Below are 21,373 nucleotides of genomic sequence, written 5' to 3'. Positions count from 1 at the left end.
AATACATTGGATGTACCATCTCATCTGACAAAATAAAAAAAAGAGACAACAAATACATGAAACAATGGTTTGTGGGACACTGGGCATCAGGCAACAAAAGATAGTGATCTCTGAAAGATGGGAAGGAAATGGGGTGAGCCCTGTGATTGTCCCCACTTTGAGAGATTGCCCCCTCTTTAACTTATGCTCATTAGAGAGGCCCCCACCCAGGCAGAACCAAGCAAACCCTCTGAGTTGAAGAGGAGTTGAGAGTCTGAGGAGACCAAGAAAGCTAGATTTCACAGAACAGTGTCCTGGAGAAGACATAGTTGTACAGAGGGAGAGTTCTGGAGATCTGCAGAGAGTCTACCTCAAGTATTCACCAAGGTTCTGATCAGCACATTCACATGAGGAAACCAGCTGGAGAAGAAGCCATCCAAATGCATTAGAGGGAACAGTACCCAGTGCTTGCACAGAGCCAAGAATAGTGCCTCTTCCATCAACCAAATGGGAAAACCTCATTCACAGTGCATTTGGAAGGGTCTTGCCTTAAATAGTAGTGGATAATTAGCTGTACACTTAACACAGTCTCATCCCACATAACACATCTTAAAGGGAAAACCTGAAAGGATCAAACTCTTTCAAAGTAACTATGTCCCTTTGTTTGAGAACACAGCTCAAGAATATTTATGGATATACAAAAATATCCAGTACCCAATAAGCTCAAAATCAGTGTCAGGAATCTAATTAAAAATTGCCAGACATGCAAAGAAGCATGAAAATTGGACTCAGTTGTTGACTCTTCACTTGACAGTTCATTCACAGGCCCAGAGACCTGGAATAACATGGGTGCTTTAGATGAAAAAGTCTTGAACTTTCTACTGATTACCGGAAGATTGGATTCATACAACTTGAAATCCCAGGGATCCAAGGAATCAGCCCCAAATGTAACACATTAACCCAATGATGTTGGGTCCTAAGAAGTCATCTTTTCTCGCTGCTAATTGAAACCTTAGCGCTTTTGGCACCGCAGTGTTCAAAATCTGTTGTGACTCTTGGGCTTCATTCCATGACAACCTGTTTCTGCTCATTGCCTCAGAGATAATCCTCTCTGGGTTCTGCGTGTGTCTGAAGTATAGTTTGCCCCTTTCTGCCTTCCTCAACTTTAGACTTAGTAGTTTGTTGGACGTACTGTCTGATATCTATGTCAGTTTCCAACTTAAAAAGTCTCCAGTCTGTGTCGCTTGGAGCAGTGTTTTACATGAAGAGCAAATTAGCTTTAAGGAGGGTTACCAACATCATGGTTTGCCAGGAAGCGAGAGGGTGGGAAAACTTTCAGCACTAAAACCAGAATAGTGCCAGGCAAACTGGGATAGCTGGTCACCCTACATTTGGCCTATTATTCTACTATTACTGGGATCAGTACATTCTTTATCACATGGGGAAATTTTTCAAGAGCATTCTAACACAGTGGCTTTTGCTGACTCTCCTGTGTTTGACTCTGGAAAGTGGCTGGTTTAGAGGAAACTATATTAGTTACCAGATGTCTAATCCCTGAAGCTTATACTAAGCCTATACTGTGGGTGAGGGTCAGGGTCATAGGAAGTATCTCTTGACCACTAGAAGAAAATTTTGGTCTATTCTCCCTCTTCTTTCCCAAAACAAACATACTTCTAAATTTTTTATTTTTATGTTTTTTTTTAATATTGCTTTTGTGTCATTCTGCCTTCCAGAAGAGAGTGACAAACATTTACCTATTTCTGATGGCTACAAAATGATTTAAGAGGCATATTCTCTCAATGTCTGTTAAATAAAAGTAAAGCTTTGATGTGATACTCGTGATTTCATGGCGATTACTTACGATGAATCTACCTAAAAAATAAGTGTGCTGTAACATTTTTGAGGCCCTACAGTATGCCAGGCTTTCACAGGTTGTTATAAAACTCATTTGATCTTCATAACCCTGAGAGGTTAAATACTAAATTATCCTCATTTTTAGGTGGAGAAACTGAGCTATCAGTAACTTGCCAAGGTCACTCCTGCCCACCCCCACCCCTGTGACTACCCCAAATAATTAGAAGTAGTGTGCACATAAGGCAAAAGGGTAAAGCTTGTGGAGAGTGATCAAAGTGTCAGATGCGTTACTTTTCAGCATTAAATGTTAAGATTTTCTAGACTGTAGATCATTCCTGAGTTGCAGCAGACCAGAGTAACTTTTAAGAAAAACTCTGGCTATGTGCAGGTGGGGTGGCCATCCATTGCGGTTAAGAGTTGCCTGAGTGATCTAGTTTTTCCAGAAGTAATTTCTACACTGTTTATACTTGTCAGAGTTCAACAGTAAATGTGCTGCTCAGCTTTAAAGAAAAAGCTGATCTCTTTTCAACAATACAGAAATCAATCTTGTTTCCGTATGTGAGCAACAAACAGAAAATGACGGTTTTTGTTGTTTTTTTCATGTTTTGTTTTGTTTTGCTTTGTTTTGTTTTTTGGTCTGCTGCCCAGCTTTTTATCAGAAGACTTTTTTGGAGCAGATGGCATGTATGGAAGTTAATTTGAATGACGTGCAGCTTGGCCATCTCTGTAGTACTCTGTGAATTTTGTCTTTATTCTTCATCCCTACCTACCTCTCTTCCCAATAGGGCTTTCAGTGCACTTGACTTTGGAACTACCCCCTTACCTTCTGTAGAGAGATAGACAATAGAACTTCCTTATCTTCTATAGCAAGACAGACAATAGAAAGGAGTAGGCTCCCTTCCCCTTGCATATATTGTGGGGGTGATGATGAGGATGTTGTTCCCTTTATCAATGAGTTTTTCCCATAGGAAACCCATGGGAAGAAGCATTTCCTCTGAACCAGCTCTAGTTTCCCTACAGAACTAGCAGTGTTGGCCTTTGGATGACGGAAAGTTGCGACAGTGGCCACAGTTCTGCGTGGCAGCCAGGAAACCGAGAACTACATTTGAGTCTTAATTTTTAATAAGTATCTGAACTGTGGTTAGTATATGTGCATTGAAACTCCTCCCATTCTTGATATTTTCTTTTATTCCTTTTTCTATAATTTTGAATTTTACATATGTTTTCACATTTTATTTTATGCATCTGTAAAAACTTTCATTTCCTCATAGGATTAAAGCAAGATGTAGATTCTTCTCTCAACCTTTTATTAAACATTTCAAACATGTAGAAGTGTTGAAAGAATAATTTAACGTGTACCTGAATATCTTTCACCTAGATTCATGTTATTAACATTTCGCTAGTTTGCTTTATCTCCCTAAATACATTTTTTCCTTTGAATCCTTTTAAATTATCTAACCCTTAAATATTTCAGTCTGAATCACCTAAGAACAAGCACATTTCTCCTGCAGAAGCACAAACCATTATTGCCCCCGAGAAACTTCTCATTGATTCATGACATATGGTCCATATTTGCATTTCCACCGCCCCCATCCCAGAAATGTCTTTTTATGGCCTTTTTATTATAAGGTTGACCTTTTGAAGAAACCAAACTAGTTTTCTACAGACTATCATAATGTTTTAGTTTTTTCTAGTTGTTTCCTTGTGATGTTTAGCCCAATTCTCTATCTCCTTTGTTTCCCGTACACTGGGATTTATGCTTAAAGGCTTAGTTAGATTGGGAAGAATACTTTCTAGCTGATGCTGTGCATTTCAAGTTGCGTCACATCAGGAGATGTATCCCACTCATGCAGTGCCGGGTCATCCCACTCACAGGACCCATGTTTGATCACTTGGTTTCACCACCATATCTTTCCCTTGTAAAGGTATGTTTATCTCCATGAAATTAGCAAGAAATCTGTGAGGTGGCACCACGTAACCACTCTTTTGACAATAATCTTTCATCTAAGAGATTTAGCATCTGTGGATGATCTTTGCCCAAACCAATTATGTCATTGCAGATTGCAGAATGATTATTTTCCAATTATCAATTCCTCTACATGATGGCATTTTTCTGTAAAAAATAACATTTCTTTATTATTTCTTAGTCTGGGCTGCTGTAACAAAGTATCGCAGACTGAGTGGTACATAAACAACAAATTTACTTTTCACAGTTCCGGAGGCTGGAAGTCAGATCAGGGTGCCAGCATGGTCAGGTTCCAGTGAGGGCCCTCTTCCTGGTTATAGACTGCCACCTTCTTGTAGCCTCACATGTAGGAAAGAAAGCCAGAGAGCTCCCAGGGGTTTCTCTTATAAAGGCACCAATCCCATTCACCAGGGCTCCACCTTCATGACCCAATTACCTCCCAAAAGCCCCATCTCTTTTTTTTTTTTTTTTTTTTTTTGAGACAGAGTCTCGCTCTGTCACCCAGGCTGGAGTGTGGTGGCACAATCTCGCCTCACTGCAACCTCTGCCTCCCAGGTTCAAGCAATTCTCCTGCCTCAGCCTCCTGAATAGCTGGGATTACAGGCGCCCGCCACCACGCCCAGCTAATTTTTGTATTTTTAGTAGAGACAGGGTTTCACCATATTGGTCAGGCTGGTCTCGAACCCCTGACCTCATCCACCCACCTCAGCCTCCCAAAGTGCTGGGATTACAGGCGTGAGCCACCGCGCCCGGCCATCCAAAAGCCCCATCTCTTAACAGCATCCTATTAGGGGTTAGGATTTCAACATATGAATTTTGGCAGAGACACAAACATTCAGTCCATAGTACTTTATTAACTGGGAAAAAACTAGTTTTTTTCTCAGCAAGATAGGTCAGTGTTTAATTTCTCTCCTTTAATTATCAATTTTCAGAATAAGTAACTAGTATAATAGTCACCTTCAGTTGTAACAATTTAGTTTTTTGTTTGTTTGTTTGTTTGTTTGAGATGGAGTTTCACACTTGTTGCCCAGGCTGGAGGGCAATGGCACGATCTCGGCTCATGGCAACCTTCACCCCCCGGGTTCAAGTGATTCTCCTGCCTCAGCCTCCCAAGTAGCTGGGATTACAGGTGCCTGCCACCATGCCTGGCTAATTTTTGTATTTTTGATAGAGACAGGATTTCACCATGTTGGCCAGGCTTGTCTTGAACTCCTGACCTCAGGTGATCCACCCACCTTGGCCTCTGAAAGTGTTGGGATTACAGGCGTGAGCCACTGCGCCCAGCCCTAGCAATTTAGTTTTATTTTTCCTTTTAACTAGCACTGTAGATTTAGGGATTTCTTTTTTCTCTGTGTTAATATTTGTTTGTTTTTGATGTTAATTGACTCAGAATTAACCAGTGATAGCCCCTTCAAACATACTCCTGTGTCCTTCTGAAATGCCCTATTATCTTTGAGTGCTTTTATGCTTTCTGGCCCTACAAGCTGCCTCTGCCTCACCTTACACTTTTACTGTCTCGTATCTGGAATCACCATTTTGCCAAGAAACGCTGGTTTCTTTCAGTGGGGAGTAGTATTTGGAAACCAAAGTCTGGGTGTTTAGAATGCTCACAGTCCTAGGATGTCCTTGTTTCCAGGCCCTTTGAGTAGACAGCATTAAAAAATACATGTATTTCAACAGTTGACTTCATATTGATATCTCCAATTCAAATTTAACATTACAAGGTTTTTCTTCAATTTAATTTATATTTATTGCCTTACATTAACAATTATGGCTGTTAATAAATAACATTTATTCTATATCCCATTCTTACCTGGCAGGGGAGATAACATGATCACGAAGGTGGTTTTCCCAGGGCGAGGTTTATCCATTGCACTCTGGGTGTGCTGACCCCTGTGATTTCCCCAAAAGTGCGAAACTCGACTGCATGATTTGTGGTAGTGGGGGACTGCATTCATGCTTTCCCCTAAAAAAGAAAAAAGAAAAAAATATAAATATATATATATTTTACCTATATGTTACTAGAATATATATTTTATATAATATATATTTTAAAATATATCTTTATATATCCATATATACATAGTTTCAACATGTCAATACCAATATTTCTAACAGTAAAACTGCCAAGGACATTTTGGGATTTTTTTGCTTTTTACAGTTTTCCTCTTTAGATTTTTGTCCTATAGTTGTTTAAAAGTCACTTGCATTTTTTGATTACTAATTTGTATTGTTAGATTACCAATTTGCTATGCAGTTAAGTTTTTAATTATTGGGTGTGCTTTCAAAAATTTTTATTTAATTTTCAGGAGTCAAAATTATTTTTAAAAAATAATTTGAAAGTTTAAAACTAAATTATCAGTAAATCTTTAACTACAAAAACATATATATTAAGTTTTGAAATGTCCATGGAATTTGAAGCTAACTTAAAAAAATTGTTGCCCAGGCACAGTGGCTCACACCTGTAGTCCCAGCACTTTGGGAGGCCAAGGCAGGTTGATTGCTTGAGCCCAGGAGTTTGAGACCAGCCTGAACAACATGGTGAAACCCTGTATCTACAAAAAGTATAGAAAAAAAATTAGCCAGGCATGGTGGCTCACGTCAGTAGTTCCAGCTGCTTGGAGGCTGAGGGAGGAGGATTGCTTGAGCCTGGGAGGTTTAGGCTGCAGTGAGCCATGATCACACACCACTGCACTCCAGCCTGGGTGGCAGACTGAGACCCTGTCTCAAAAAAATAAAAAAGTAAAAAATTGTTATTTAATTACTCTGTAAATTGCTATTTATAATTTCTAGAAAGTTGTGACAGCATTTTAGAGCAGTTGTTTAACAGTGTCACCTTTGGATTAGAGCTAAAATTTGTGTAGAGGCATGGATGCTCTTTCAAGTTTTTAACTTATTCATAAAAAGGAAGCAGACAAGTGAAATACTTCCCTGGAAACGAATGCATTCCATCTCAGACTTAGTGCATTTTATCATCTTAAAACTTTTCTTCCTCTGGGAGGGGAGAGTATTTTAGTACTTTGAATTTTATAGTCCTTACCAGTGGCCACTGATAACCTCTTTGCCATATCTAGTGGGCACTTGAACTTTTCTTAGCACCTGGCACCTTTCCCTCTTAAAACCTCACACTTGGCTTGTATGATACTAGTGGACCCTTGGTTTTCCTTCTAGATCTGAGAGCTGCTCAGCTTCCTTTCTCTGCTGCATAGGGTAGTGGGTGAATAGGCTTTGGAATCAGGTGGGATATCAGTCTGATATTACCACCCAATGGCTATCTGACCCCAGGTCAATCAGCTTTCTGGATTCAGTTTTTATAGAATGGGACAGATAATACCTTCCCTATCTATCTTGTTGTTGGGAGGCTCAACTGAGACAATATGCAATTAAATCACAAGTATTTACAAGTGTTATTTCAGTCCTTTTTCTTTCTAGTAAAAGTGTGTTGTAATTGATAATTTAGATAGTGTATCATTATCTTTGATATAAAAAGAGTTGTCCCAGATGGTTATTCACCTTTCAGGTTGGATGTGCTGAGCAATCCAGATGCCCTGTACCCCTTTGTATGGCAGCCACTTCCGCCTTGGGAAACAAGCTTCCTGTGTGTCCCCTGCCCTCTCCCACCCTCTGTTACCATTTCTTTTCTATTCCCAACCATTTCCTAACAGGAATTCCATGTGAGGTAGTCTCTCACTCACCACTATTCCCACTCCCTTCCCCTGCAGCTAATGACCTGCCAGTATTTTTGTTCCCAACTTTTTTGGGAGTCCCCATTATCCTAGTCCCCAGTCCCCCTTGTCCCACTCCCAGTGACTGCCCCCCCAACCCCACCAGGTTTATGTTCCTATTACCATAATTCAATGCCTCACTAGGATCCCCTTTCCATCTCTAGGAGTCTCTTGAGCTTCTGACTCTGGTAGTACCAGCCACCACCAGTGGATTATAAACTAAGGGTATATCACGTACAATTCTCTAGCTCAGTGGAATGAGGCTGAGGTTGCAGGGGAATTCCAGTGCTTGGTGAAATTAAAACGACCATGATTCATCCAGGCCAGTGCAACTCAGTCATCATCAGTAAACCCAAAGTGTCACCACCACTTGGGAGCTTTGCTCAGATCCTACCTTAGATCTACTGAGTTTGAATCTCTGAGAGTGGGGCCCTAAAATCAATGTTTTAAGAAGTCCTCCAGATGACTCATAGGCACATGAAAATCTGAGAACCATTCTACCCAACAGAGCTTGGAATTCTAAATATAGCTTGCCATGGAAAGTGTCCTAGATTGCATTTGTAGTCATTTAGTATTGTGTTTTATTAAGTTGTGGTTTAATAAAATTTTCAGGTAAGCCTGAATCTAACGGTGATTTGGTGTTGGTTTTGGTTAATTCATATATCAAGTTTATCAGTCATCTTATTAATGAACTTTTGCACCTTAGTTATTTTTGGAATAAATTAATGAGTTAGGAGCTATTTTGAAAATGTAGGATGTAAGAATTTTATGTATTTACTGATTAATTTATACTTCATGTCAATACAGAAAGGATATTTTGCAACCAGCATACAAAAATATATGCAATTTAGAAATGTAATGAAATGAAAATTAACCTCATGGTCCTTTTTATGAAGAAAAATTTTTCCTCATGATTTCCTCTCTTATGCTTCTGGTTCCGCTATTAAAATTTATTCTCAGCCATTGAGAACTCATTTCTTACCATAGGCAGGATTCTGGAACAATGAGATCTATTTTAATCTCTAGATTAAAATGCAATAAGGAAGGTAAACAGTTACCTCATTTTGAGTCTGTGGAATTTCCAACAATTTCTGAGTCCTTCCGCATCCCAGGCCATGGGAGTGATGATTTGTTTTTTTTTCAGTTGCTAGATTTCTGAACAGCTTACTGTCTACTCTTGGTAAGCTTCAGTAATAGTTATCTATGTAAGTTTAACAGCTTTTTTTTTGAATCCTTAAAATAAACTTTGATTTACTCAATTGATAATAAATCAAAGATATTCAGAAGATTAAATATGCCTGATCAGTGGCTGTCAGATGTTTACCTCACTGGCTTGCTCTGGTCATAACTGGCAAAAATTTGCTACTTCTTGTTGTCTTTTACCTCTTAGCACAGGATGTTAGGTAGAGATCCTTGAGCTTGTGATATAAATTTTAACCCTGAATTATAATTTCTCCCCTGAAGTCAACAAACCTTTCATTTAGTAGGTACTTGACTGCCTGCAGTATATCAGGCACTATGCTAATCTCTGAGAATACAGAATTAAATAAGTTTCTACCCCTACCTTCACGGCCCTTGCAGTTTAATAATGATAGTATAGTGAGGGTGTATTGAGAGTTGGGTCTTGCTATACTCTAGCTTGCAATTGACAGCCATTCAAGGGAAATTTATTAGAGAATATTGGGGTTACCCAGATATTCCAAAGACAAATGGGTCTTGGGAACACCTAGAACTAGGGACTCTGTTGAGATTCTATTTCCAACATGTACTCTTCTCACAAATATGTACTCTTCTCCTCTTTGTCTCTCCCTCTCTTCCCCTTCTTGCCTTCTGCTGCCTTTTTCTTTCTTTCATTTTTCACAGAAGGGCCCTAATTGGCTCAGCTCAGAGATCAGGTGGCCATCCCTAAACCAGTCACCTCTGGCCATGGAAAAACCATATGAATGGGACGGAGGAGGGTGGGAAGGAAAGATGATGTCTAGGAGAAAGGGAGTCTGGGCAGATAAAAACATCTCTGACAGGTATATGCACTTTACATTTATGCATTCTCTTAGTCCACACAGTAGCCCATTAACCTCCCCAAGACACACAACTAGCCAGTGGCAGAGCTAGGATACCAATCCAAGTTTCTGGTGATTTCCATACTATGAGCACTGTGCTACTTACTGGTTACACTGCAGTCTTTAAGAACAATAAAGTGCATGCAAAATAGCCTTAACAAACTGAATACTGAAGGACAAGGGATGTTTGTCAGACAAGAGGAGGTTAGGTCATTGCAGGGGGTGGAAAAGGCATGTGAGAAGGAATCGTGGTATGTAGCAACTGGGTGCTTTTTGTAAACCACAAACTGTTTATTATGGCTAAGGATGAGGGGGTGCGAGGAGACCAGATGGGGGAAGCTGAGGATATTCAGAGGGCCCGTCAGGAAGACACTGATATGGTAAGCTAAAAAGTTAAAAAAAAAAAAAATTTTTTTTTTTTTGAGGCGGAATCTCGCTCTGTTGCCCAGGCTGGAGTGCAGTGGCGCAATCTCGGCTCACTGCAACCTCCGCCTCCTGGGTTCAAGAGATTCTCCTGTCTCAGCCTCCTTAGTAGCTGGGACTACAGGTGCCTGCCACCATGCCCAGCTAATTTTTGTATTTTTTTTAGTACCGATGGTTTTGCCATGTTGGCTAGGCTGGTCTCGAACTCCTTACCTCAGATGATCCGCCTGCCTTGGCCTCCCAAAGTGCTGGGATTACAGGCGTGAGCCACCGCACCTGGCCCAAAAGTTTAAATTTTATCCTGAAATCTTCAGAGCCCATTTGGAGATATTTGAGCATGGGAGAGACATGGCCACATTCACGGTTGAGAAAGGTCAGTCCGGGCCTGCTGTGCAGGATTTACTAAGAAGAGACGACAGGTTAGGAGGTTTAAATATTGGTGCCTGCTGGATGTGACAAGGGCCTGGACAAGGCATGGAAATGGGGATGTAAGTCATAGTTATGACTTAGCCCCGCAGGCTGAGAAGCTAGATGTGGGGAGAGTAGTAAGCTGGGAGGACAAGGATGCTCCTTGGAATTCTTTGTCCACTAAGACAAAGAACACCAGAAGGAGGATTGTATTTGAGACAGGAAGGAGACAGCAGAAGGAAGGAGAAATGAATATAGGGTTGGGCAGCTTGCATGTTGTGCAACATGCAAAGGCAGATATTCTACAGGTATTTGGAAACACAGGCCAGGCACCCCCAGAGATCTGTACTGTAGATATGATTTTGGCAGTGCTTAGTGTTTGGATCTTAAATGAAGCCTTGGGAATAGAGACGATCTCCCAGGGAAAGTTGTCTGGGGAGGAAGAACAGCAAGCCACATTTGCAGCCCCAAGGAACAGCAGCACTTGAGGTTCCCTTGTACACCCGTATTAAAGGTCTAGTTGGGGATAGGAAGTCAAGTCAATGAAATTTCCATTTTTACAAGACTTTCCATACCTCATATATGGTCTACCAGGTGTCAGAGAATTGCCTCAGCAAGAAGTACCACTCCCCTTTTCTAAAACTATGTTCCATGTAAATTTTAGCTCTGAAAGAAGTATAGATTTTGTATTAACTACAGATGGAGGCAAGAAGAGGATGGAGGTATAGGCTCAACAGTTAGAAAAGAAGCCTTAGGAACTTCCCATTCCATGCAGAGATCCTCAGAGTATCCCTGGGAGGTCATAAGCCAGCTTTTGGACATTTCCAGTGAAGGGAATTCTACTTTTTGAGGTAACTCATTGCATGGCTGGGTAGCTTCAAACCGATAGTGTCAGAATTATCTTTCTGCTACTTCCAGGTCCTGTTTAGACCTTTGGAATTTCCCTCCTTTGCAGTAGTCTTTTGATGTTGTAAAAGAGCCATCCTGGCCCTCCAGGGCCTTCTTGGTCGGCTCTAACTGTTAATAGGGTGAGAACTTATTTATAAGGCAGAAGCCAGAGGTGGAATTTGGATGAAGAGGTACCCTAGGCTCTGACATCTATCAGCTACTTCTTTGCTGGAGAATGTTTAGGGGTCACTTTAACATATCCTACTCCCAAGCTCATTTCCTAGTAGAAGTGCTTATAATTAATTTTTTTCTATGGAATGCAGAAATCAAATGAGGAGAAACTCCAAATATTGTAAGCTTTAAGAAATATATAGGCAGGCTTAGAACACCGTCATTATTCTAGTCTCTCTCCCATGGGGTGTTATGGCAAAATGAGTTCATTTGTTTATTCATTCAATTAACATTTATCGAGTACCTACTCCGTGCTATGTGATTTGAGATAGGGAGAACACAACTGAAATAAACACACAACATTTTGGAACACATCTACCCTTGACTAATTGAAATATATTGGTAGTCCACCTTGTCCTTTTTATTTAAGGATGGTATTAAGCATCTAATTTAAAATCGCTTACATTCAGCGCATTTGTCTCCTTCAAAGTGTGAAATTAAATAATCCAAACTTAAAGCTGTTGGAACTTTAAGTTATCTTGAGCCTTGAGGGGAATGTGGCTACGTAGCCTGAATCATGTAGCATGCAGTTGCTATTTCTGCTTTTTCCTATAAATGATTAGCAATGAAGAAGCAGCATCAGAGATAAGACGCCCCCCTTGCCCCTCAGAACATTATTTCTCCTCAGGAATGCTAAAGCAATCTTCCTTGGAATGTAGTAATCCATACTAAGCAAATCACTGTAATGTTACATACTGGCTTTGTACAGAAAGTGCTGAACCCTGCTAAAACTGTTTCTGCCTATATAAGTGAAACCTTAGCTTCCCCACTTTGGAACACCAACCCCATCCATTTGGAGTGTGTGCTGCCCAGGTGGCTGTTCTTAAGCTTTGCACTGCGCTGGAATAAACTCGATGCTTAATCATAATTTCTGAATCTCGTTATTTAAGGTTGACAAAGGCAAAGTCTTATTGTACTTTCTAGCTTCCTTAGGGTAGAGAAATCAGTTTGCCTAAAATGAAACTCAGATGGGTTATTCTGAGACCTCAAGGGCTAAATTAGCATGTTCTTTCCCTTGTAAATTAGGGAGACTTGGATTGCTAACTGAGCTTTGCCCTGGGTCTGGGGACAAAGGTAAAAATATTTGATCAGATAACAGCTAGTTTTCAAAGGGCTACTTGATGTATTGTTCAGTCTTTAATCTGGAAACACACTTTCTCTGCAGGTTAATTAACACTAGGGTAAAGATTTTTCAAAGCAGATTGTTTTCAGTTAAAATAAAGTACTTTTTTTAAAAAGTACTTTTTAAAAAAGACTGAAGTAGTAAGGGGAAAATTAATTATCACTTTTAATGTACATTTGCAGTAATACTGTGCTTGCCTTGGAAAAAATATATTGAAGTACTGAAACCATGTGAAGTGTCACAATTCCTTCTTGTGTTACCTGTGTTTTATTTATAGTCTGTTGTGCAACTAATTGCAAGATTATCATATGTGTGAGCACAATACATAATGTAAAACCTCAGTTGCTATAAGAAGATATCAGAATGGCTCACCTAGGACATTTACCTAAATAAGTCATCATGCATATGACATTGATTTGGCCAATAAAATGAGGATAATAACAACACCTTTCTCACGTTTACAGTTGAAAGCATTAAGTTGTTAAGTATAAAACACTTGTGGTTTTTTGTTTGTTTGTTTGTTTGTTTTTTTGAGACAGATTCTCCCTCTGTTGCCTAGGCTGGAGTGCAGTGGCGCCATCTCGGCTCACTGCATCCTCCACCTCCGGGGTTCCAAGCAATTCTCGTGCCTCAGCCTCCCAAGTAGCTGGGACTATACGCACGCACCACCATGCCTGGTTAATTTTTGTATTTTTAGTAGAGACAGGGTTTCACCATGTTGGTCAGACTGGTCTCAAACTCCTGACCTCAAGCAATCCGCCGGCCTCAGCCTCCCAAAGTGCTGGAATTACAAGCGTGAGCCACCATGCCCAGCCTATGAAACACTTTTAACATTTCTTTTTTTACAACAGTCAGACAGCTACCATATGAGAAAAATACTGTTCATTATCCCCATCTTATGAGAAACTGAGGCACAGGGAAATAACTTGCCAAAAGTAGTGCAGTTACCTACTTGCGGATCCAGGATTCAAACCTAGGGAGTCTGGTTCCAGAGTCTCTCTGCTCTTAAAAGCTGTATGAGACTGCGTCTCCAATTTCTAGCAGAGAAAAAACCTGTCTACCTGCCCCTCCCATGTTTCCTGCTTTGCTGTATGTTTAGGTGGAGTGGCCTCCTATGTGAAGGTGGATAGCACCTCTTTAAAGATAACTCCCAAGTTAGGGCTTAAAACCCTCCTTACTACATAACAGTCCCCTTCTGTATAACTTTATTCCTCTTGTGTTACTTTAAGGTTTAAAGAAAAATACCAGAGGCCTAGATAGTCCAATATTTTCTTTATCCAGCAACAAGGAGAAAGCCTAGGTGGTGTCTGGGATTTTTGAGGACCTGTCAATTAAAAATGTATATGTTTTATCTGAAGTCTGTTGAGATTAGAATACTTCTGTCTTTTGGTTTCATATTTTATTAGTTTCAGGCTTTTTAAAGTTTGGGTTTTTAAATTACACATTTGAAACTGACTTTCAAAAAAAATTTTGTTTAAATTACACATTTGAAACTGACTTTCAAAAAAATTTTTTGTTTAAAAAAATTTCTCACATTGCCGATAGTACTGATACAGCTGGTAAATAAAACAAAATCTGATCTTTAGAAAAGCAGAACTTTGCTTTTTTTCCCTTAATCACCAACAGATGCAAATAGCTATATACAAATGATATTGTTCTAAACCTGCAAAAAGCATTTTTTCTGCTTTATTTTATGCAAAACTTCAACACTTCAATCTTATTTGGATTGGCGTTTATTTTGATTTCAGTTGGCTCCAACAGAGCAGCACTGGGGCCTTCTACGGGAATTGTTCCAGCATCTGACAGAGCACAGACTTCCTTATTTAAATAAGGAAGTTGGACATTGGTGGTATTAATGGTTTTGCCAAGGGGACCCAGAGGATTATTGAAAGGAAATACACAAAGATGACTTTCTGATTTTCATTTTTACTATGTTAAATGTTCATTTCTAAACAACCAATATGAAGAAGAAAACGCTGATATTTATGGGGGGAAATCTATGAGGCAACATTATATCTTCTTTTGATCTTTATTGTTTGTTTTTTCATTCTCAGTTATTTAATTATATTGGTGAAGGGGATAGAAGTTAGTGATGGCCTCCAAATGGTAAAGCAAAGTGTATCCACAGCTAATGTTACTACTAATGCCAAACTGCATGTTAAGTTCTACCCAAACCTGTATCTCTCTTTTGCTTCACCTATGTATTACGTGTAACTATGTGAAATCGTCAGTATTCAACTGTTTTTGATCTGCAAAAACAATTTCAGATAATTCAACCTAATAAGTTCAGGGGTCAGTACACGTTTTCTGTAAAGACCCAAATAGTAAGTAATTTTGGCTTTGTGAGCCAGATAGTCCCTGTTGCAACTACTAATAACTCTGCCATTATAGTATGAAAACCACAAGAGACAATATGTAAATGAACGAATGTGGCTGTGTTCCAGCAAAACTGAAATTTGAATTTTACATAATGTTGACATGAAATATTCTTTTTTCCCCCCAGCTACTTAAAATATAAAAATCATTCTTAACTTGCAGGCTGTGTAAAAACAAGCAGTGTCCAGCTTTGGCCCATGGGCAATAGTTTGCCAGCCACTGTTTAAGTTGAACTTGGCAGCTACTGACTTTGAAATTTCTGGTACCTTGTACTCTCTTTTCATTGACCTAAAACCAATTGCATTATCTCACCCCTCAGAACTCCCCACCACCAAGACTTGTTTCACCTTCTCACCTCCCTTCATTATCAGTGGCACCTCATTCTCCTCATTCTGCCATTTTGGAAACATGGGATTCATCCTCTTTTCTCTCTTCTCCATAACCCATGTCCAACAGGTTTCATGGGACTTCTCGGTTCATTCGCCTACTCTCTTCCCTTCCACCGAGAGCCATTGTTCGGTTCACAACCTCTTTGTCACTAGGACTATTGTAAGAGACCCTGCCTGAGTTCTTCCTTTGTCATTTGTCCTCTAGAACCCATTTTCTACTAAGCCACAAGTGTTATTTTTCTAAAGTAACTGTGATCATATCAGTCCCTAGTTTAAACAGTCTTAGATTTCTTCCATTGGTTATAGGCTGAATAGAATAAAGCTCCTATAAAATTTCGTGGTCTAGTTCTGATGTAGCTCCCTCACCAAGCCAATACTTAGGTCACACCCTACACCTCTTTATAAACTTCACAACATCTTCAGTTTTCACAGGCTGTTCCTCTGCTGGGAGAGCCTTTTCTTACCTTTTCTCTGAGTGTTGATTTCCTTCATTCCATAACACTGAGCTCAGATGCCTCTTCATCTGTGATACTTCCCCTGACTCTTCTTTTGTTGACTTGCCTCCTCTGTATTCTCAGATCCCTTGCGACATAGGCCTTGAGTATGGCATTAATTCAAGCAAATTGTAGTTTTTGTGAGAAGGGCCAATGGACTAAATGTGTGCATCCCTCCCCTCCCAATGCATATGTTGAAATCCTCACCGCCAGTGTGATGGTTTTTGGAGGTGGAGCCTTTTGAAATTGTTCAGGTCATGAGGATGGAGCCCTCATGAATGGGATTAGTGCTTTTAGAAAAGAGGCCCCAGAGAGCTGCTTTGTCTCTTCTGCCATGTGAGGTCACAGTGAGAACACAATCATCTATGAACCAGAAAGGGGGCCCTCACTGGACACAAAAACTTGCTGATATCTTGAACTTGGATTTCTCAGCCTTCAAAACTGTGAGAAATTTACAAGCCACCCAGTTTATGTTGTGTGTGTTTTTGTTTTTTATTTCTCTCGCTCTCTCTCTCTCTCTCTCTCTCTCTCTCTCTCTGTCTCTCTAGAGAGGCACGGTCTTATTCTATCATCCAGACTAGAGTATGGTGGCACAATCATAGCTCACTGCAGCATCCAACTTCTCCTAGGCTCAAGCAGTCCTTTCACCTCAGCCTCTCAAGTACCTGGGACTATAGGCACGTGCCACCACACTGGGTGTTTTTTTTTTTTTTTTGTAGAAACAGGATCACACCATGTTGACCAGGCTGGTCTCAAACTCCTGGCCTCAAATGATCCTCCTGCTTTGGCCTCCCAAAGTGCTGGGATTACAACAATGAGTGGTATTTTGTGTCAGAAACCCAGAAGGACTAAAACTAACATAAATGACTATAGGGTCCTTGAGAGTAGAAACCATCTCCTTGCCATCTTGACTTTTTTTTTTTTTTTGGATTTACTCATAAAGTCACAGAGATCTAATTGCAAGGTTACAGATTCAAATGCCCATGAGGCCAGGCTGGTCACTTCAATGACAAAAGTGGACAGAGTAAGATCTGGGGTAAACTAGCAAGGACATGTCCTATCTCGCGGGAGTCAGCCTCTCCTCAGGTCCAGCTGATTATAGTCATTCAAGAGTGTGATGTGTGTAGCTGGATGTATTAATTTTCAAAAGAAATTGGAAAATTAAGATTTTAATGTAAATATCCCAATTTTAAAATATTGGCAACTAATTTACCTTTTAATGAACACTTTGTGGACAAAAATTTTAAAATATCAATCTGATTGTGGGCTGAATGTGGCCCTTGAGACCCCAGTTTGCAACACCTCGTTGGTCACTGCTCTTAGCCACAGACAGAGCCTGGGAGCCAGAAGATCTAAGGTTGTGGGGGTACAGAAGGACCTCTTCCTAGCCTGTGTTTATTCTGCCTTTACATGTGGCTTCCTCCACAAGATGGCACTTAGACTGCCCAGCCACACTACCACACAAGTCATGAGATGTTACTTAGCCACCTTCAAAAACGTGAAAGCCAAACACCACAGCAAATTCATTTTATACCATCCTTTCTTCTCCCTGGTCATGGATTGTGAACAGGCTGAGATGATCTCCTGTCCCCCTGCCACCCGGAGCCAGGTGAAACCCTCTGGGAGAAGCTATTATTCTTTTTTTTTTTTTTTTTTTTTTTTTTTTTTTGAGACGGAGTCTCGCTCTGTCGCCCAGGCTGGAGTGCAGTGGCGCGATCTCGGCTCACTGCAAGCTCCGCCTCCCGGGTTCACGCCATTCTCCTGCCTCAGCCTCCCGAGTAGCTGGGACTACAGGCGCCCGCCACTACGCCCGGCTAATTTTTTGTATTTTTAGTAGAGACGGGGTTTCACCGTGTTAGCCAGGATGGTCTCGATCTCCTGACCTCGTGATCCGCCCGCCTCGGCCTCCCAAAGTGCTGGGATTACAGGCGTGAGCCACCGCGCCCGGCCAGAGAAGCTATTATTCTTGATGGATGTTTTGACTGGCCATCCAGCTGGATTTGCTGATGGCTGTTACCAAATGCTTAGGTTCCTGGTCAGAGCTGTGGTTTCTTTTCTCAGTACCCCAAGAATAAGAGGTTATTACTGCAGCTAGGAATTAAGTTGTCCTTCTTTTCCAGCCCATCTGTGTGGCCAGTAACCACTTGAGAGAACCACATGAGACATTGCCCAAGAGGTTACCTGGAAAAGAGAATTTTCATAATTGATAGCTTTATTTGGTCTTCCATAAGTTATTCATCTCCCCCCCCCCACACACACACACACTGTATTTTACTGTCTACCTCCTAGTTATATATAAATCTCACTTCACCTGATGGCCCTCAGGAGACACCTGTCCTTAAACATTTGTCAATACTGTCTGCTAACCAGTATGAACACTTAGTGTAAACTTTTTAGCCTGAACTGTCAAGGCTTTGATATTTCCTTGAAAACAAAGCAAGACAACAATAACCACAAAAGAAGATTCTCTATTTGGTCTTTTTCTGTAGTCCTGAGACCTGTGCTTCTGAGGCCAGGAGCTTGGGGGCCCAGAGCCGATGTGGGTGGGCAGATCGGGGTGGGAATCTGGAAGCAGCATGTTCAGAACCATGTGGATACTCTCCTGTGTACAGAGCATGTGGCTTGAGAAGAGGGCTCAGAGGAGGTCCCTGTTCTGGGAAGTGTCATGCCTTGTCCCTGAAGGCTCTGGATGTCTGGCCATGTGTTCCTGAGGGAGGCAGAGGGATGCTGATGGAAAGGCGTAGAAAGGAGGAGATGCTCCTCTAACTCGCATGGCTGGATAACATCCTTGGGTCCTGACAGAAGAGGCAGCTAGCTTTGCATTTGGTGTATTATTATTAAATAACATATTTTAAGTGCTTACTATGTACCAGGCACTCATCAAATACTTTTCATGCTAGAGCATTTAATTCTCATAACTCTTTTCTGATGGGAAGTGACTATTCTTATTTTAGGGGAAAAAAGTACCTTGCCCAAGTACCCATAGCTGGAGATAGTAATTAACAGAGACCAAGTTTGAATCAGTTCTCTCCAACCATTGTCCCTGTGTCTGCCTTCTGCACTATGCTGAATGCCTCATGGTGGGGAGGGAGAGAGAGTTGGTGTTGAGTGACTTTGCCACCTGTGAAGTATTTAGCACCATACATGCCACATGGGAAACCTTCAAAAATGTCCAATCTGTCCTTTGTTGATTGGCTATCTTTTGTAAATCTGTTGAAAACTATTCTGGGGCCAATGGCCTTTGTGACAGGACCACTATGTGAGAATACTTGAGGTACTTACTTTGTCTGTGTTTAGTGATAGGGATGCTTTCTAAGTGTCATGTCATCAGATGAGTGTCCTTGAAGTCAGGTTTATAAGGTGAGAAGGCAGATAACTTGACAATTTAACAGTTGCATGTAAAAGCAAGACTTTTCTGCTGAAATTGAGGTGGTGATGATTACAAAATAAATTGACTAGAGTATTTCACAAATAGAAGAAAAATGAGTTTTCCAAGTGTGTGTATCATGGTAACACAGAATGAATCATTTGCTCCTTTTAAGTAGATTCTGCTATTGCTATGATCTCATGCATGTTCATTCCTGAGATTTAGGTTATAATTTCAAGGTGTATCTGATACACATACAGGATTTTTTACTTTCAAGTTTGTAAAGGTCTGTGTTTACCTACTTTTACAAAGGGAAAAATCTTAGGGGTTTTGGTTCAGTTGAAGGTAGGCTGGTAGGTTAAAGCAGTATATAAATAAATTTAACTTTGCCATGTGTCTCTCCCAGGGCAGATGTGTCTTGTTCTTCTAAGAGTTGAATAAACTGGGTATAAACTTTCCATATTGAGGAGACAGTAGCTGTGCTTCACTTTCAACCTCTAACATTTTTCCTACTTGAATTTAAACCTAACTTCAAAATTACCCATGTGTTTAATTATGATGACTAAAACACCCCTCCCCAACACACACACACACAATCTTAATAAGTCATAGAATTTAATCCATGAAGTACAGCTAAGGAACTGAGATTTGCAAAAGTTAAGTAACTTGACCAAACTACTCTGCCAGTCACTAGCTGTGACTTCGTTTAAAAAGGGAGTAACAGTGGCAGCTACCTTATAGAGTTGACAAGAGGATGAAATGAGTTAATTACTTTCTACAAAATATTAACAGCAGTCTCTGGCTCATACATAGTTCTCAACAAATGTGAGATACTGTTATCCACACCTAGGAAGTAGCAGAGTTGATTTCTGTCAGATTCATTCATTCAGTAAACATTTGTTGAGCACCTGCTATGTGCTGTATTCTAGGGAGATAGTTTTTGTTAAGAACCACCATGACTTATTACCTCCAGTTTAATTTCCAGAAAAATACTTTCCCTCTTTGTAAACTGGAAAATAATGTGACCAAAGGTATGATGATTCGTGGTCCACCAGCATTTCTTTAAAGCCTTCAAAATAAGCATCATGCGTAAGTATTGTTTAGGCCAAGAATGTAGATAGCATAGTCGTTTTTCCTGTTGACCTCAAGGTGGTACTGACTTTACGCTGGAGCATACAGCAATGGAGTGGTGCCCCTGGTCCACCTGCTTGCCTTTAAGGAATCTGTTGAATCTGTTAACAGCATGCTGCTCCTCAGCTTGTGAAACAAAGTTTTTCTCAATTACTTTTTATAAAATTAAAGATTTTGTTCACATATAGTTAACAAAGCATTTACCTTTGAAGTGCAAAATAAAATATTTAAGTTGATACTGGTCAAACTTGTTAGAGCCAAATGAGATTGAGAAGAATGAGGCCTTTCTACTAAAGCTGTGTAAAGTAGGGGAGTTGAAATAATATAAAATAGGGGATAAGAGTTGTGGCATTTTTTTTTTAAACACAGTGACTTTAAATTGATATTTAAAATTTAATATTTAAATTAATATTTTATCATCTGAATGGTAATCAGGTTTCTGACAAAACAGGCTTACATAGGTGGGACCACCATCTTCCCATTAGATTGACATTTCTGACTGTCTGATACTTCATTAGTGCTATTCATAAGCTACGTTCAACATGAAATGGCAAAGTAAGGGCACCAGTAATTGTTCTTTCACAGTTCCCTGGGTTTGAGTCATTGCAGGACAGACCTCTGAACCAGGCACCGACAAGAATAGATGCACAATAGGAAAATAAAACAACCCAAGAGCTGAAGCAGAAAGCTCTCAGAACTCCCAAGTGTGTTCGCATTTAGCTGTGTGACCTTGCGCCAGTCATGATCATCCAGGTCACTGGTTTTCTCATATGCATGCAATGAAGTTTCTAAGACCTCTTGCTGAAGTTAGGTCAACTTTGGAGTTTAATAACCACTCAGGGAAAGACAGGAGACGAAGCACGTTAAGGGGACAGGGATTCGTGATTTATGTAATTATAGTAGCTTTGTTGTCTGTTGGAAACGGCAGTGGTGGATGAGTCACCTTGGCATGTAGCTGT

The 21,373-nt window shown here is 40.4% G+C and overlaps 1 protein-coding gene, 1 long non-coding RNA gene and 1 pseudogene across 5 annotated transcripts in view; 2 read left to right on the top strand and 1 right to left on the bottom strand.

Moving 5' to 3' along the window:
- The window catches only part of LOC105369795 (uncharacterized), a 60,653-nt gene extending 44,521 nt beyond the window's left edge, over window positions 1-16,132 (bottom strand). The window contains exons 1-2 of one of the 2 annotated variants that reach the window (XR_945016.3): window positions 15,887-16,132; window positions 5,613-5,765 (exon numbers count right to left, since the gene is read on the bottom strand). This is a non-coding gene — a long non-coding RNA (uncharacterized LOC105369795). The remainder of the gene's footprint in view (window positions 1-5,612; window positions 5,766-15,886) is intronic. The other variant, XR_945015.3, reaches the window with a different exon arrangement.
- The window catches only part of PPM1H (protein phosphatase, Mg2+/Mn2+ dependent 1H), a 291,157-nt gene that overhangs the window by 78,645 nt on the left and 191,139 nt on the right, over window positions 1-21,373 (top strand). The window lies entirely within an intron of this gene.
- RNU1-83P (RNA, U1 small nuclear 83, pseudogene) lies at window positions 5,605-5,767 on the top strand (annotated as a pseudogene).

Source organism: Homo sapiens, chromosome 12 (genome assembly GCF_000001405.40).
Source record: "Homo sapiens chromosome 12, GRCh38.p14 Primary Assembly".
Classification (NCBI taxonomy): Eukaryota; Metazoa; Chordata; class Mammalia; order Primates; family Hominidae; genus Homo; species Homo sapiens.
Note: the sequence above shows the minus strand (reverse complement) of the source record. Positions and strands in the feature narration are given on the sequence as shown.